The 15,081-nt window shown below is 48.5% G+C and overlaps 1 long non-coding RNA gene across 2 annotated transcripts in view, besides 2 other annotated features; it reads left to right on the top strand.

The window, feature by feature from the left end:
- The window catches only part of LINC03036 (long intergenic non-protein coding RNA 3036), a 245,028-nt gene that overhangs the window by 217,951 nt on the left and 11,996 nt on the right, over positions 1-15,081 (top strand). The window lies entirely within an intron of this gene.
- Positions 1,452-2,220: an enhancer, noted in NCBI's record as "H3K4me1 hESC enhancer chr10:120568913-120569681 (GRCh37/hg19 assembly coordinates)". NCBI's record gives its function as "activates a minimal SCP1, AML or CMV promoter by ChIP-STARR-seq in primed H9 embryonic stem cells {active_cell/tissue: H9 hESC(primed)}" and the evidence as "EXISTENCE:reporter gene assay evidence [ECO:0000049][PMID:30033119]".
- Positions 2,221-2,989: an enhancer, noted in NCBI's record as "H3K4me1 hESC enhancer chr10:120568144-120568912 (GRCh37/hg19 assembly coordinates)". NCBI's record gives its function as "activates a minimal SCP1, AML or CMV promoter by ChIP-STARR-seq in primed H9 embryonic stem cells {active_cell/tissue: H9 hESC(primed)}" and the evidence as "EXISTENCE:reporter gene assay evidence [ECO:0000049][PMID:30033119]".

The raw sequence follows: 15,081 nt of genomic DNA, 5'->3' as shown, positions 1-15,081 counted from the left end.
CCATGCCCGGCTAATTTTTTTGTGTGTTTTTAGTAGAGACTGGGTGTCTCATGTAATTCTTATTGCAACCCTTTAGGTTTCATTATTTCTATTTTTCAGATAAGGACATTCAGATGAGACTCAGATAAATTATTTACCCAAGATCACCCAAAGTTATTTGAACCGGGTGGTCTGACTGTGGGGCTTGGATATTGAACCAACATGCAATACATGTTTGCATGATGCTGGTGTCTGTATTTGCACTGGGCCTCCTCCCAGCGCCCCTTCACACCCCCTCCCTTTCCTGCTCTGGCTTCTTGGAGCAATCATGTCTGGCTCCCCTGAGGGACACTTGGCCTCTTCCTGCCTCTGCTCCCTTTTAGCTCTTCTCTGCTTTCAGTAAGGCAATGACTGCTTCATCCAGCCACTGAACCACACTGTCCAGTCCACTGAATAAATATGAAAAGAGGAAAGAAGAAAGGAGACAAGTTTGGGTGTGAGACCTACTTGGACCACAGTAATCCCAGCTGACAGGCTCATGGGAAGGGTGAAGGCCCCGGGACCAGGAGAATGGGGCAGGTGTGGCCCTGGCAAGGCCAACCAAATGACCTGCTGTCCAGGCTCCAACAGATGTGGCAAGCTCCGGGCAGTCTACCCCAAGCTCCAGCCTCGAGGGAAGAGACTGGGAAACTCCAGCAGGATGCTGGGGCCCCCACTAAGCAGACAGTGGGGTCAGAGCAGGGCTCAAGGTCTGTGGGGCAATGGAGTGCTGGGCAGGGAAAGTGAGGCAGGAATCTTGTCCTTTTTTCTGAGCCAACCTAGGGGTCAACTTGCAGGCATGTGACCCTAAGGGTGACTTGGAAATATAGGCTTAGGCCTGTGGACAGTAGGAAGTCATCTTAGCCCCAAGGGCTGGCATTACTGAGGTTGTCAAGATACTTGCTGCCCATTAGGATGGTCTCAGACCTAGGTAGGGCTGGGTCTGCAGGTGGTCATGGGTATTCTAGCTTGGGGAGCAGGGAAGGAAATTCAGGTGAGAAGAAGTGAAGATGGTACCACTCAGCACCCCATCTCTCCCACCCCAGGTTCCTGGCTGCAGAGAGGTCCCCCAAGTCCTGCTCTCCAAGGACATCTCAGAGTTGGTGTTTCCTAGGGTTTAGGAGAGAAGGACCCGATAGCCTAATTGCAGCACGTTATACTAAAGTGTCAATGACTACTTGTTTTTTTAAAAAAAGGGTCTGAGGACCTCAGAGCAGCCCCTCCTTGGTGTGATGTCAGGGGTGGTGGTGATGACTCAGCCAGGGGGTGCCATACATACCAGGAGCCTAATTGGAAGCTTCTTGCCCCAACTTCACACCCAAAACCAGAGGTCAGGACTGCAGTTTCCACCAGGGGGTTTTCAATGGTATTATTCACAGACTGCTTCTGAATACCTAGAACGTGCCAGCACTTTGTGCGTGCCCCCTCAGCGAATGTAACAGCTTGTGGGCGTCATGTCCCGTATTTACAGGTGAAAAATCTTAGACTCAGAGAAATGAACTAGTTTGCCCAGTCACTAGCAAGTAGGCAGTGAAGCCTGGCTCCAGCCCTGACATCTGATGAGACCCCCGGGGCTGTGCTCTGCACCCGGTTGGTGTCCCCGTGGGGCTGGCAATGGTCACGTGTCAGAAAGCATCCAGCTGCAGGATGGTGTCAGGAATGATCTCATGTCTGACCAGTTCTGGCCCCAAATGAAGCTGGTGCTCCTGCTCTGAAATCCACCCCCCATCCCTAGCAGTCCCCTTCTCTGCTTCCTCTCAGCCCTCCTGGCTCCTTGGCTCTCCTGCCTCCCCCGTCTTAACCCCACCTTCTCATTCTTCCCTCTCTCTCACCTGACCACAGTGGGAAGCGACTGCCCATCTTGGCTTTGGCACCCAGCCTGGGCATGATCTCTGGCGTTTGCTCTGAACCCCATGTTGGGAGTACCAGGGAGAGGGGCCTCCTCATCTTGGACCCATGGTACCAACCAGCTATACCCAACGTGCCCAGCCTCCCTCACCGGGCCACTCTGGGTAGGAGAGATAGAGGAGGAAGTGACAGAGTAAGTGTGACCCTGCAGGAGCCAGCAAGGCTCCTCTTCCTCCTGCCTGATCCCTCCTTCTGAGGAAGAGGCAAAGGCCCCACCCACAGCACAAAACAAGCCAGAGGTCACCGCCCTACTCTCCAGCGGGCACTTAGAGTCCTGATGGCCTCCACGGGTGCCTGTCCCTGTCGGCTCGGGCCTGCTGTGAATTCACACGCTGTGACCCATTTCTTCTGGATGGAGGGGCTGGCCCCTGCAAAGCCACTGGCGAGAGAGGAAGGCCAGTCATTTGTGCTGGCCGGGGCTCTCTGCTGCCTGGCTCCGTGTGCGGTGTTCATTATTCCTGATCCCATGGCTCTGCCTGCAGCTGTGGCCGCCTCGCTCCATCCCGCCAGCTTCATTCCACCTAATGACCATTGGCCACCTGCACAGGAAGATAGATGATTGCTGTCACCCAGGCAGGTGTGTGACACGAAGGCACAAACTGAGAAAGACAAGGGCAAACGCAGCAGTTGCAGACAGGCCGGGAGCTAGTTCTACCTCTGGGGGAGGACAGATGCCCCGGTTCAGGTCATCTCAGGGAATGCAGTTGCCCCTCGGCCTCGTCGTCTTTCCTCTCTGCCTCATTCCTGGAAGGCAGCCAGCTCTCCCACATCAGGACCACCTGGCTGGCGGTGGAGCAGCGCCATGCGCAGCTCCTCTGATCCCTCAGCCTCTTCCCGCTGTGGATGCAAGGCGAGGCCGCCCAGTCTTACAATAACCCCAACTGCTGGCTGCCTGGCCTTGGCCTTCTGCTTTTGGCCTGTTGCTGTCATTACTGTTTCTGCCCTATCTGTTACCAGCATCGGAGGAGGAGGAGCAGCAGAGGGGCAGGGTGGAGGGGCAGGGACATCCCCTCCCATAGGACCCTCTGGTGGGAGAGCTCCCCTCCCACCAGGTTGTGAAACAGAGTGGCCCAGGACTGAGGGGGGTTACTGGGAGGTGGGCTAGAGGTGGTGCCTTGGTGTCCTGCCTCCCCTGCTCCCTCGAAGCCTCTCCAGGAAAGTGGTTCTGTGGTCACCAGGCAACTTGGGGTGAACCTGGGGGTGGCTCCTGGAGGACAAGGTCTGTTCTTCATTTGTTTCCCCACTCAGAGTCCCCCTGTGAATTCCATGTTCCTAGAACTGGTGCACTTGGCATCTTGGCAGTGCCTGGAGAATGAGAATGTCGGTTTCACTCTTACTGTCCTGTCCCTTGGGTGGGGTGGGAAACACAGCCTGTCCAGTAGAACTGAAGGGCCGACCCGGAGAAGTAGATGCATTGTCAAGTCCAAGGGTGAGGTGGGAGGTGACGGGGCCAAGGACCTCTCAGAACATGAGACCAAGTCAGAAGGTCAGGAGCTGAGAAAATCCAGGAACAGAACTGGTGCAAATAAGGACTCAGTGGCCTGCAACGAGGCTCAGTGAGACGGTGATCTGGCTGTGTGGGCCAGAGAGTGGGAGCCTTGCTAAGGGCCAGGAAAGGCCAGACAGGCAGCCTGGAGCAGAGGTGACAAGTCTAATTTTCTCATGGAGTGACACGGCTGGACTTTAGAGAACACACATTGTCTAGCAGAGGCTGGTGGGGTCCACCATGTGCCCACTTGGTTCCAAGCCCAGCACGGGATGCAGAGGAGAAGTCGGTGAATGCACGCTCCTGAAGCAGGAAACCTGCTGTCTTTGTCTGTGTGGGCTGCTGCCACAGAATACCATACACTGGGAACTGTATCAACAACACAAGTTCATTTCTTACAGTTTTGGAGGCTGGAAAGTCTAAGATCAAGGCACCGGCAGATTCCATGTCTGGTGAGGGCCACTTCCGGCTCGTGGATGGCATGTCACTGTGTCCTCACATGAGGGGCAAGGGGTCTCTCTTGGGCCTCTTATATAAGGAAGCACATCTTACTCATGAGGATTCCACCCTCATGACCCACATCACCTCCCACAGGTCCCACCTCCTAATACTATCACCTTGTGGGTAAGGAGTTCAGCCTAGGAATTTGGGGCTAAGGCACAAATATTCAGGCCGTTGCATCTGCCCATCTTTTTCACTTATTTCCCTAGCAACAAATAATAGTAGCTAACACTTCTTTAGTGCTTAACATGTGCCAGGCATTGTTCTAAGAAACATTTTCAACAGTTTTATTGAGATCTAATTCATACTCTACGACTCACTGATTTAAAATGTACAGTTTGGCTGGGTGCAGTGGCTCACGCCTATAATCCCAGCACTTGGGAGGCTGTGGCAGGTGAATTGCTTGAGCCTAGGAGTTTGAGACCAGCCTGGGCAACCCCGTCTCTACAAAAAATATATATATGTAAAAGTGAGCAGAGTGTAGAGGTGCACACCTGTAGTCCCAGCTACTGGGGAGGCTGAGGCAGGAGGATCACTTGAGCCCAGGAGTTCAAGGCTGCAGTGAGCTGTGACTGTGCGACTGCACTCTAGCCTGGGTAACAGAGCAAGACTCTAAAAAAAATAAAGTGTACAATTCAATGGCTTTAAGTATATTTACAGAGTTATGCCACCATTACTACAATAAATCTTAGAACATTTCGTTACCCCTAAACAAAACCCTGTATCCATTAGCAGTCCCACTTCCCCTCCTCCAGCCCCATGCAATCACTAATCTACTTTCTGTCCGTAGATTTCGCTGTTCTGGACATTTCCTGTAAATGGAATCGTACAATATGTGGACCTTTATGGCTGGCTTCTGTCACTTAGCATAATGTTTTCAAAGTTCATCCTTGTGGTGGCGTGTGTCATTACTGCATTCCTTTTTATTGACAAACAATACTCAATTCTATAGATAGCCCTCTTTTTATCCATTCATCAGTGGATGGATGTTTGGGGTGTTTCTACTTTTTGGTTGTTATGAACATTTGTGTACAAGTTTTTGTGTGGACATATGTTTGCATTTCTTGTTCTCAGAAACTTTAAGAAGTAGGTAACATCATCAGGCCTAAGGCTTAGAGAAGGTCATTAGCTTGGCCAAGTTCACATAACTTGTTGTTTTGTTTTTGTTTTTGTTTTTGTTTTTGTTTTTGAGTCTTGCTGTGTCGCCCAGGCTGGAGTGCAGTGGTGTGATCTCAGCTCACTGCAACCTCCGCTTCCCAGGTTCAAGTGATTCTCCTGCCTCAGCCTCCCGAGTAGCTGGGACTACAGGTGTGCACCACCATGCCTGGCTAATTTTTGTATTTTTAATAGGGACAGGGTTTCACCATGTTGGCCAGGCTGGTCTCGAACTCCTGAACTCAGGTGATCCACCTGCCTCGGCCTCCCAAAGTGCTGGGATTACAGGGGTGAGCCACCACGTCCAGCGGTGCAAGCAGAGAGAGAAGCCCAGGCAGTCTTGCTCCAGAGTGGGGCCCGCAGCCACTGTGCTCCATCACCTGAAAGATGGCCTGGCGCACTCAGCAGGCACTTATGGAATGAGAGGCCAAGTAAGACAGGGGCCCTGCTCTCCAGAGACTGGTACTGCGGTTGCCTCCTAGTAGACAGCTTCTCTCTAATTAATCTTCATAATACTCTCAGGGCTGAAAACACAGGAGAAGGTCAGCTGGAAGCAGCTATTCAGAAGTGAGATGTGCCTGATGTCAGCTGCAGATAGGGACACTTTCAGCCAGGGGTGAGGCTGCAGGTTCCTGAGGGAGGGAAGAGCCAGCACTGGGGCCTGAAAGATTTGAAAAGTTATAGAAAACTTCCTTTTCAGAGAGGCAAATGGGAAATCTACTTTTTTTTTTTTTTTTTGAGACAGAGTCTGGCTCTGTTGCCCAGGCTGGAGTGCAGTGGCGCAATCTCAGCTCATTGCAACCTCCGCCTCCTCGTCAGCCTCTAGAGTAGCTGGGATTACAGGTGCCTGCTGCCACACTTGGCTAATTTTTGTGTTTTTTAGTAGAGACAGGATTTCACCATGTTGGCCAGGCTGGTCTTGAACTCCTGACCTCAGGTGATCTGCCTGCCTTGGCCTCCCAAAGTGCTGGGATTACAGGCGTGAGCCACCGTGCCTGGCCGGAAATCTACTTTTAAAAGATGAGTGACATTGAAGCTCATTTGTGAGCCTGGTGGCCTCTCTCCCTTAGGCCATAGACTGCCTTTTCCACGTTACCTGTCACAGGAGGACCAGGATGGCTGATCCTGGGCTGTGATTCTGGGGGCAGCTGAGCCAAGTCATCTAGAACCGTAACTAGAGTGGCAAGTGCCGAGGTTCAAGGCGCGGGAGGTGGAAACCCTCATCCTGCCTCCAGGCAAGTTAGGAGCTGATGCTTAAGGTTAAAACCCCGGCCGACCCCAGCAGACCTGGGCAGATCCTGACAGACCCCAGCGGACCCATTCCCCAGAGCCCAGCCTGCTGTCCCCGCTGTCTGCAAGGTTGGTCTCAAAGACTTTGCTCACAGTGCTCTTCCCTGCCCTTCATACCAGCATCTACTCCGTAGGCACTTCCATGTTTTCACGAGGCGACACTGACTTTTACAAACCAGACAGTCATCAACATGAGCCTCAGACACAGCTCTGACCCTCTTACTCCCAAATCAAAACCTTTCAGTGTTCACAGAATTAAGTGCAAACCTCTTGCGGGGCACTCAGCCCTCTCTGGCCCAGCTCCTGTCTTCCTTCAGGTTCTTGCTTTCGGCAGAGCTAACCTTTCGTCTCCCCTGCCCACCTCTCCCTCCCCAGCCCAGCATTCTGGGTTCCAGCCTCTCCTCCTTCCCTGCACAAGTTCTCTTTTGCTTCCCAATCTTTGCTCAAGCTGTTCTCTTGGCGTGGGACTGCTCCATATCAACTCCCACCTCCTCCAGGAAGCCTTCCTGGTCCCTCTGGCCATAGGGAATCTCTCCCTTCCTCCACTTTGTCCCCATCTCTTATAGCACTTCTCCCTCATCTGCAGTTTCCAGCGTCATTTGTTTATCTTGTTCCTGGGGGCAAGGGTTAAATTGCCTTTGTGTCTGCTCATTCCATAGGCCTGGCAGAGTGCTGACACATAGTAGGTGTTCAATAGATGGGTTGCCAGATTGAGCTGAAAACTTCCAGTGAAAAGAGTCTGTAGCTTATGTGTCCTGAGTCACACAGACACAGACAGCCAAGTGTCCTAATGCCCTTTGTGCCTAATTCTGGCATAAAGACACTTTCTCCTGCAGAGAAACTTCCCAGTCCCACAACTCCCCCAGCAAGTGAGCAGTGAGTTTAGAGTAAGGAAGGCTCCCGAGTAACCTTCTCCATGGTGACATCGGCCACTGGCAGGCAGGGCTTAAGGGAGGACTGAATTGGTTTCTACCAATATAGAGGCTGGTGTCTTGTCTTTTCTTCCTTTCTTCCTATTACTCTTTAAATAAAAGCAATAACTGCGCATGATATAAAAACTTGACCAGTACAGAAAGATCTAGAAAAATGATTAAAATCTCCCTGCTTTTCTCTGACCCCAATCCTCATCCCCAAAGTTTCCTATGTATCCCACCAGAAAAAAGTATGCATGTATCTACATATAAATATATATCATTTTAAACAGTTACATAGGGGAGCAAGGTATACGTACACTATTCCATATCTGGCCTTTCCCCCATTTATTTAATGATATATCTTCAGGGTCTTTTACTCTGAGTCTAGAACTTTGCCTCCTTATGTCTAATCACTGCAGACTATTCTGTTGTATGGATGGGCTGAAATTGATTTGGCCTGCTTTGACAAACTGAGAGTCATTTGGGTGGCCTCCAACTTTTGGAGTGACCGTCACGTGTGCACAGCTCGATGTTTTTTTGTCCATGTATCCATTAGGGGGCACCTAGTGGTAGAACCGCAGAATTAAAGGAAACCTGCATTAGAAATGTCAGCTGAGGCCCGGCGCGGTGGCTCACACCTGTAATCCCAGCACTTTGGGAGGCCAAGGCGGGAGGATCACTTGAGGTCAGGAGTTTGAGACCAGCCTGGCCAAGATGATAAAACTCCGACTCTACTAAAAATGCAAAAATTAGCTAGGCATGATGGCGGGCACCTGTAGTTCCAGCTACTCAGGAGGCTGAAGCAGGAGAATCGCTTCAACCTGGGAGTCAGAGGTTGCAGTGAGTCAAGACTGTGCCACTGCACTGCAGCCTGGGAGACAGAGCAAGACTCCGTCTCAAAAAAAAAAAAAAAAAAAAAAAAAAGTCAGCAGAATTGCTAGAAAGACTGTACCTGCTACTTTCCCACCAGCTGGGTAGAAGGGCACGGCTGGTTTCCCAGCAGGCACCAGTACCTGAGACACCTTTGCCCTTTGTTCAGGGTGTGCCCTTTGTGCTCTGGGGAGCTGTCCTCCTCGGCTCCCTCTCCTTTCCTCTGTCCTGCCTCAGGTTCTGTCTCTGGTCAGGTCTTCGGGCTGCCAAGCTCCCAAGTGAAAGTTGAAGCATCAGGCAAGCCTATTGTTTGGCACCCAAGATGCTTATCAGTAAATCAGTTCAAAAGTAGCCTGAGTTCAAGTGTTCTTTAAAGGTGAACCAATCAAGTTGATCTGGTGGAATTTATTCAAATTTTTGTACCCTCTTAATCTCTATGTAGAAAAGATGAAGAAGGCCCAGCATGGTGGCTCAGGCCTGTAATTCTAGCACTTTGAGAGGCCGAGGTGGGAGGATTGCTTGAGCCCAGGAGTTCGAGACTAGTCTGAGCAATATAGTGAGATCCCCATCTCTACACAAAATAATAAAATTTTAAAAAAGCAAAGAGGAATAGATGTTCATTTGAATCAACGTATACAATTTTGGTGGAAGGGCTATGTGTATCTGAGAGCGGCAAGACCAGACCAAGTGATGTAAGGCAAGCAGGTCCAGAGTCAGAGGCTCCTGCAGGCCCCACAAGGATTAGGGGCCCCTAGGACACAGGCTGTGCCTGCGTGAGCGGCCCCTGTCAGCCACCCCACCACGCCCTTTTCCCTTCCCCCACCATGCTCCAGACATGTCTGGACTTTCTTCCAGGCCTTGCTAAGGGCTCATGACCCATGCTCTGCCTCTTCCTGGACCCCTCTTTTCTGCCTTCCACACGGCCAGCTCCTTCTTACCTTCAGGTCTCAGAGAGGCCTTTCCTCCCTCTGTCCTCCTCCCCACTCTTCCAAAGGACACTCGGCCAAGTCCTTCACAGCATCATTCTGTCCTTATTCACATCTGTTTGTTTGTTTTGTTTGCTGTCTACCTTCCCCGCCATAGGGTGTCAGCGCCACGCCCTGCCTATCAGCGCAGTGCCCAGTGCACAGGGCCTCATGCGAGGAGTCACTTGGTAGATGTGGAATAAAGGCATGCATCTGGCTGGGGGGGGGGTGGCTCACGCCTGTAATCACAGCACTTTGGGAGGCTGAAGTGGGCAGATCACAAGGTCAAGAGATCGAGACCAGCCTGGCCAACATGGTGAAACCCTGTCTGTACTAAAAATACAAAAATTAGCTGGGCGTGGTGGTGCACGCCTGTAGTCCCAGCTACTCAGGAAGCTGAGACAGGAGAATCTCTTGCACCCAGGAGGCAGAGGTTGCAGTGAGCCGAGATCGTGCCACCACACTCCAGCCTGGCAACAGAGTGAGACTCCGTCTCAAAAAAAAAAAAAGGCATGCATCTATGAATGAAAAACCAAATTAGGAAAAGTGAAGGAGGAAAGAAAAAATTAAAGGAGATCTTCAGTGAAAGTAAATAAGTCCCCCGCTTCACCAGGCAGCAACAAAGAGGAGCGTCCACTTCTGGTGGAGATCAGGCTACATCAGCCACTGCCATTTCCTGACCTAGGAGCTCCTAGTCCCTCTGAGGAGGTGGATCCTCTGAGAGGGCAGTTGCTATGGAGGTGGAGCCGAGAGGTGATTCCTGGCTGCTCCCAGACTATGCCAAAGAGGCAGAGAGATGTGGTAAGTGTACAAGAATGACACAGGAGTTTATGGGAGTTCAAAGACTCTCTGACCAGTCCGAGAATAAAGCATTAGGGAAAAAGGCACTGGGGAGAAGTTGCCAGGAATTCTCAGCATCAAGCAGGAGGTTACCCACTTAATGTTTGGTATGGCGTTAGAGGCTGTCCTCAATGGGATAATCAGATAAGCATTTTTTTTTCCCGAGACAAAGTCTTGTTCTGTTGTCCAGGATAGAGTGCAATGGCATGATCTCGGTTCACTGCAATCTCTGCCTCCCGGGTTCAAGCTATTCTCCTGCCTCAGCCTCCTAGGTAGCTGGGATTACAGATGCCCGCCACCACGCCCGGCTAATTTTTGTATTTTAGTAGAGATGGTGCTTCACCATGTTGGGCAGGCTGGTCTCAAACTCCTGACCTCGTGATCTGCCCGCCTCAGCCTCTCAAAGTGCTAGGATTACAGGCGTGAGCCACCACACCTGGCCCAGATAAGCATTTTAAACACTGACACCCCTAATTGCTCTGTTACAGGACATAACAGATGTGGACTGTCATACACTAACTACTGAGAAAAATAATTTGAGCTGCCCCCAGGTGGTGCTGCCTGCCAGCCAACCATTCACTGTGGGCAGTTGCTCTCTTTGTTCAACAGAACATGCGTAACTATTTGAACATTTTACTGTGCTTTGTCCATGTTGTTTTACAAAAACAAGTGGAAAGTAGAAAAAAAGAGTAATCTCAAAAATAAGCAATATAAGTTTTCTATGCTTAATACACTTGCTTCCAAAATGGAGATCAGTGGCCAATCTTTGAGTTCAATTGAATGCTTACTGGACTTAAGTGGGTCCACTGTAGACTTAATGGCAAAGGAAAAGAACAACATATAAGAAAATGCTATAAATATGTAACTGGAATTTAAAACTATTTTGGACCTCTCAGAATCAGGGCCACTACGAGCTAAATGGTGTCTTGTGCAAATTGGGAAAAGGAATTCCTTTCTTTTCTGGATAAGTACAACTCTACATCAGGATACACATCTAGATTTCAGTCTAACCCTTGGTCAGATGCCCTTGTGTAGTGTACAGCCTTACCAACTCTACAGTGCTGCCTGGGATGGAACAACCACTTATAATGTGTAAGTCTCTAATTGCACTCTATACAGTTAATTTGATACATATTTTCATATTTACAAAAGCAGAGGACTGCCTGTGTACAGTTTTTCTGTTCACTTACTTGTAAATTAGAAGGCTTGTCTCATATTTGAGACATACCTATGCAATTTGAGAATGCAGGATCATTAACTATGAAAAACTGCCTGAAGGGCAAGACCAGGGTTCACATTCCCCTCCTTCAGCAATCCTACTGCCTTTTTAGAGCAGAAGCTGCTCTTTACCTTGTTTCCTAGTTATTTGGATGGCTTCTTCCTTCTTCTACTAGATTGTCAACTCTCTGAGGGCAAGAGCTGTTTGTCTCATTTGTCTCTTTACTTCTAGCAAACAGTACAGAAACTTGTGGGGGTTCGTTGATTTCACTTTGATAGACAATGACAAGAATTTCTGCAATAATTGTTGTTATAATGCAGAAGGGTTGATATATTTTCTCCAGGTGCTTGTACCTCTGAGCTTCTATAGCCTTCTGAGCATATGCAGCACCTGGCTAACTGATTTGCTTTTATTTTAGAGGTTGATGGGAAAACCACTCAGACACCAGGAGGTGTTATGGCTCATGGACGTTTGTTAAGTATCAGATGTTACTCAGGACTGAGTCATGCCTTTTCAAAAGGACTGCATTTGGAGACTGGCGGGTTCTAGCACTTTCAATGAATAGTGCATTTTTTTTTTTAGTGGGTTCCTTCCTATCCATGCCTGGGAGCATGGGCTGAGCTTTTGGAGTAAGCCAAATGGGATAAAGGGTCAGATGTCGGAAAAAGGAAGCACCCACAGTGGCCGTACATGTGATGGGCTTTTGGGCAGCACCACGGACCATGGAATGGAATGGCTTAGGTCCTCTTCATGAAGAAATAACTCTGGGATACACTTAGGAAAACTGCAGGACCCTTTCAGTTGGCCACACAATGGAGCTGCATCAGCTGGGTGCTGCCTCAAAGAGGAGTGAGTTGTGCTCATTTCCCGAATGTTGCAAATCTGGAAATTATCTTACGTTGGAAAAGCGATGACTGTTCCTGCACTCTCCCCCAATTTCCTGAAAACTTTGATTTTTTTAGGATATTCTGAGAAGAGTAAAAACCCACGGCTGTGGCCAGGTGTGGTGGCTCACATCCGTAATCCTAGCACTCTGGGCGAGAGAGACATCAGGTGGATCACCTTAGGTCAGAAGTTCAAGGCCAGCCTGGCCAACACGGTGAAATCTTGTCTCTACTAAAAATAAAAAAATTAGTCGGGCTTGGTGGCGCATGCCTGTAGTCCCAGCTACTCGGGAGGCTGAGGCAGGAGAATCGCTTGAATCCGGGAGGTGGAGATTGTAGTGAGCCGAGATCACGCCATTGCACTTCAGCCTGGGCGACAAGAACAAAACTCTGTCTAAAACAAACCAACCAACCCACAGCTGCTCCTTCTAAGCTATGTTTTATGCCACAGGCCCTTGGGTAATGTGTTTCCGCTTCTCCCCAGATAGAATACCACTCATTTTAGCTTAATGTCTTTGTTCTTGAAATTGTCCGTCTCACCCAATCTTCCTCCCATCTCAGAGGCAGGAATAAAGCTTACCTTGTTCAGCAAGCAGAGTACTGGCTCTTGGGTGGAGGAAATGTATTCACAATTTACAGATAAACCTCACAAAGTTGTTTCTGATCAGCAATTGCTTTGAGAGTGAATCTCTCCTCAAACTCCACCAGCAGATTGTGTTCTGTGTTGCCTTTCTCAGCAGCTTTCTGGATCCTTTTGGGCTAGGAGCAGCTCTTCTCGGGCTTCATGCTTATTTTCTGTAAAATGAGCAGGAAGTCAATGTCTCCTAAAGTCTTGCCATTTCAAAGTGTGCTCCTGGGACAAGGGGAATCTGCAGCACTCTGAAACTTGCAAGAAACGCAAAAAAAAAAAAAAAAAAAAAAAAAAAAAATTCAGGCATTGCACCAGGACTTCAGAATCTGTGTCCCCAGGTGATTGGCTTGTACATGGAAGGTCGAGAAGAGCTACTCTGAAGTCCCTTATTGCTATAAAGCTTTATGATTCTTTGGGAAGGTATCCTGTAGCAACAGCCAAAACACATTGAGTCCTTAACTCTGTGCCAGGGATTCTTACATGAGCTCATCTCATCCTCAGCACAAGCCCAAGGCAGGGGTAATCATGATTCATATTTTACAGGCGAGAAAGCTGACACTTGGCTCAGAGAAACTGGCTTCCTTGGCAAAGGTCACCCAGCTAATTGGGTACAGAGCTCGATCCACCCTCAGGTCAGCCTGACTTCAACCTCCCCTCTATGTGGTGTTGCCTCAGGGGTCCAAGGCAAGGTTTTGAGGAGGAATTGACCTGTGAACTTTGTATTGTCAGATGATGAGTTTGCCAGGTTGTAAGTGGGAGAGAGTCATTCCAGAGGAGAAAAGAACCAGCGAGTGGCCCAGAGGAAGGAGAAAGCTGGGCAAGTCCAGAAGGTGGTCTGAGATTTAGTTTTAACAAAATGAATGTTAATTTGGTATGAGCTTGTTTCTGTTGAGCACAGGGTGGGAGGAGGGAGAGATAGTCAGGTTACCGAAATTACCAGCAAGTTTAGATGAAATCTAATGACATTTTAATGTGTTTTCTGAAGATACTGTCTATTGAACTGAAATATATCACACCAGTGAAGTATGCTCATTGTTCTGGAGAAAGATCATTCTTGCGGATTGACTTTGATTTTTGTAATTTTGCTGCCAATATGTAAAAAAGGTCAACTTCACCCTTGCTACTTAAAGCAACTCCAAGTCAATAGAGCCTAGAAGTCTCTCTTTGGAAGGATGGATGTTACCAAGGAATTGTATAGTTGAAATTCTTCTTGCACTTGCCAGGTTCTGAAGTTGTCCTCAGGGGATCCCCATTTCACTGGGGAAAGGATCAAAGAGTCATATAGAGAGGCCAGAAGTAATTTCCTAACATAGTAGAGCCCTGGTAAAACCCTCAAAGTCAAATCTCAGAGCCATCTATTGGAGTGAACATTCTTTTTTTTTTTTTTTAATTATTATTATACTTTAAGTTCTGGGATACATGTGCAGAACATGTAGGTTTGTTAGATAGGCATACACGTGCCATGGTGGTTTGCTGCACCCATCAACCCGTCATCTACATTAAGTATTCCTCCTAAAGCTATCCCTCTCCTAGCTCCCCACTCCCCAACAGGCCCCAGTGTGTGATGTTCCCCTCCCTGTGTCCATGTGTTCTCAGTGTTCAACTCCCACTTATGAGTGAGAACATGCAGTGTTTGGTTTTCTGTTCATGTGTTAATTTGCTGGGAGTGATGGTTTTCAGCTTCATCCATGTCCCTGCAAAGGACACGACCTCATCCTTTTTATGGCTGAATAGTATTCCATGGTGTATATGTGCCACATTTTCCTTATCCAGTCTATCATTGATGGGCATTTGGGTTGGTTCCAAGTCTTTGCTATTGTGAACAGTGCTGCAGTAAACATACATGTACATATGTCTTTATAGTAGAATGACTTATAATCCTTTGGGTACATACCCAGTAATGGGATTGCTGGGTCAAATGGCATTTCTGGTTCTAGATCCTTGAGGAATTGCCACACTGCCTTTCACAATGGTTGAACTAATTTATACTCCCACCAACAGTGTAACAGCATTCCTATTTCTCCATATCCTCTCCAGCATCTGATGTTTCCTGACTTTTTAATGATTGCCATTCTAATGGGCGTGAGATGGTATCTCATTGTGGTTTTGATTTGCATTTCTCTAACGACCAGTGATGATGAGCTTTTTTTCATATGTTAGCTGGCCGCATAAATGTCTTCTTTTGAGAAGTGTGTTATATCCTTTGCCCACTTTTTGATGGGGTTGTTTGTTTTTTTTCTTGTAAATTTGTTTAAGTTCTTCATAGATTCTGGATATTAACCCTTTGTCAGATGGGTAGATTGCAAAAATTTTCTCCCATTCTGTAGTTTGCCTGTTCACTCTGATGATACTTTCTTTTGCTGTGCAGAAGCTGTTTAGTTTAATTGGATCCCATTTGTA

This window comes from Homo sapiens, chromosome 10 (assembly GCF_000001405.40).
Source record: "Homo sapiens chromosome 10, GRCh38.p14 Primary Assembly".
Lineage (NCBI taxonomy): Eukaryota > Metazoa > Chordata > Mammalia > Primates > Hominidae > Homo > Homo sapiens.
The sequence above is the reverse complement of the archived record's forward strand: the minus strand, read 5'-3'. Positions and strand labels throughout refer to the sequence as shown.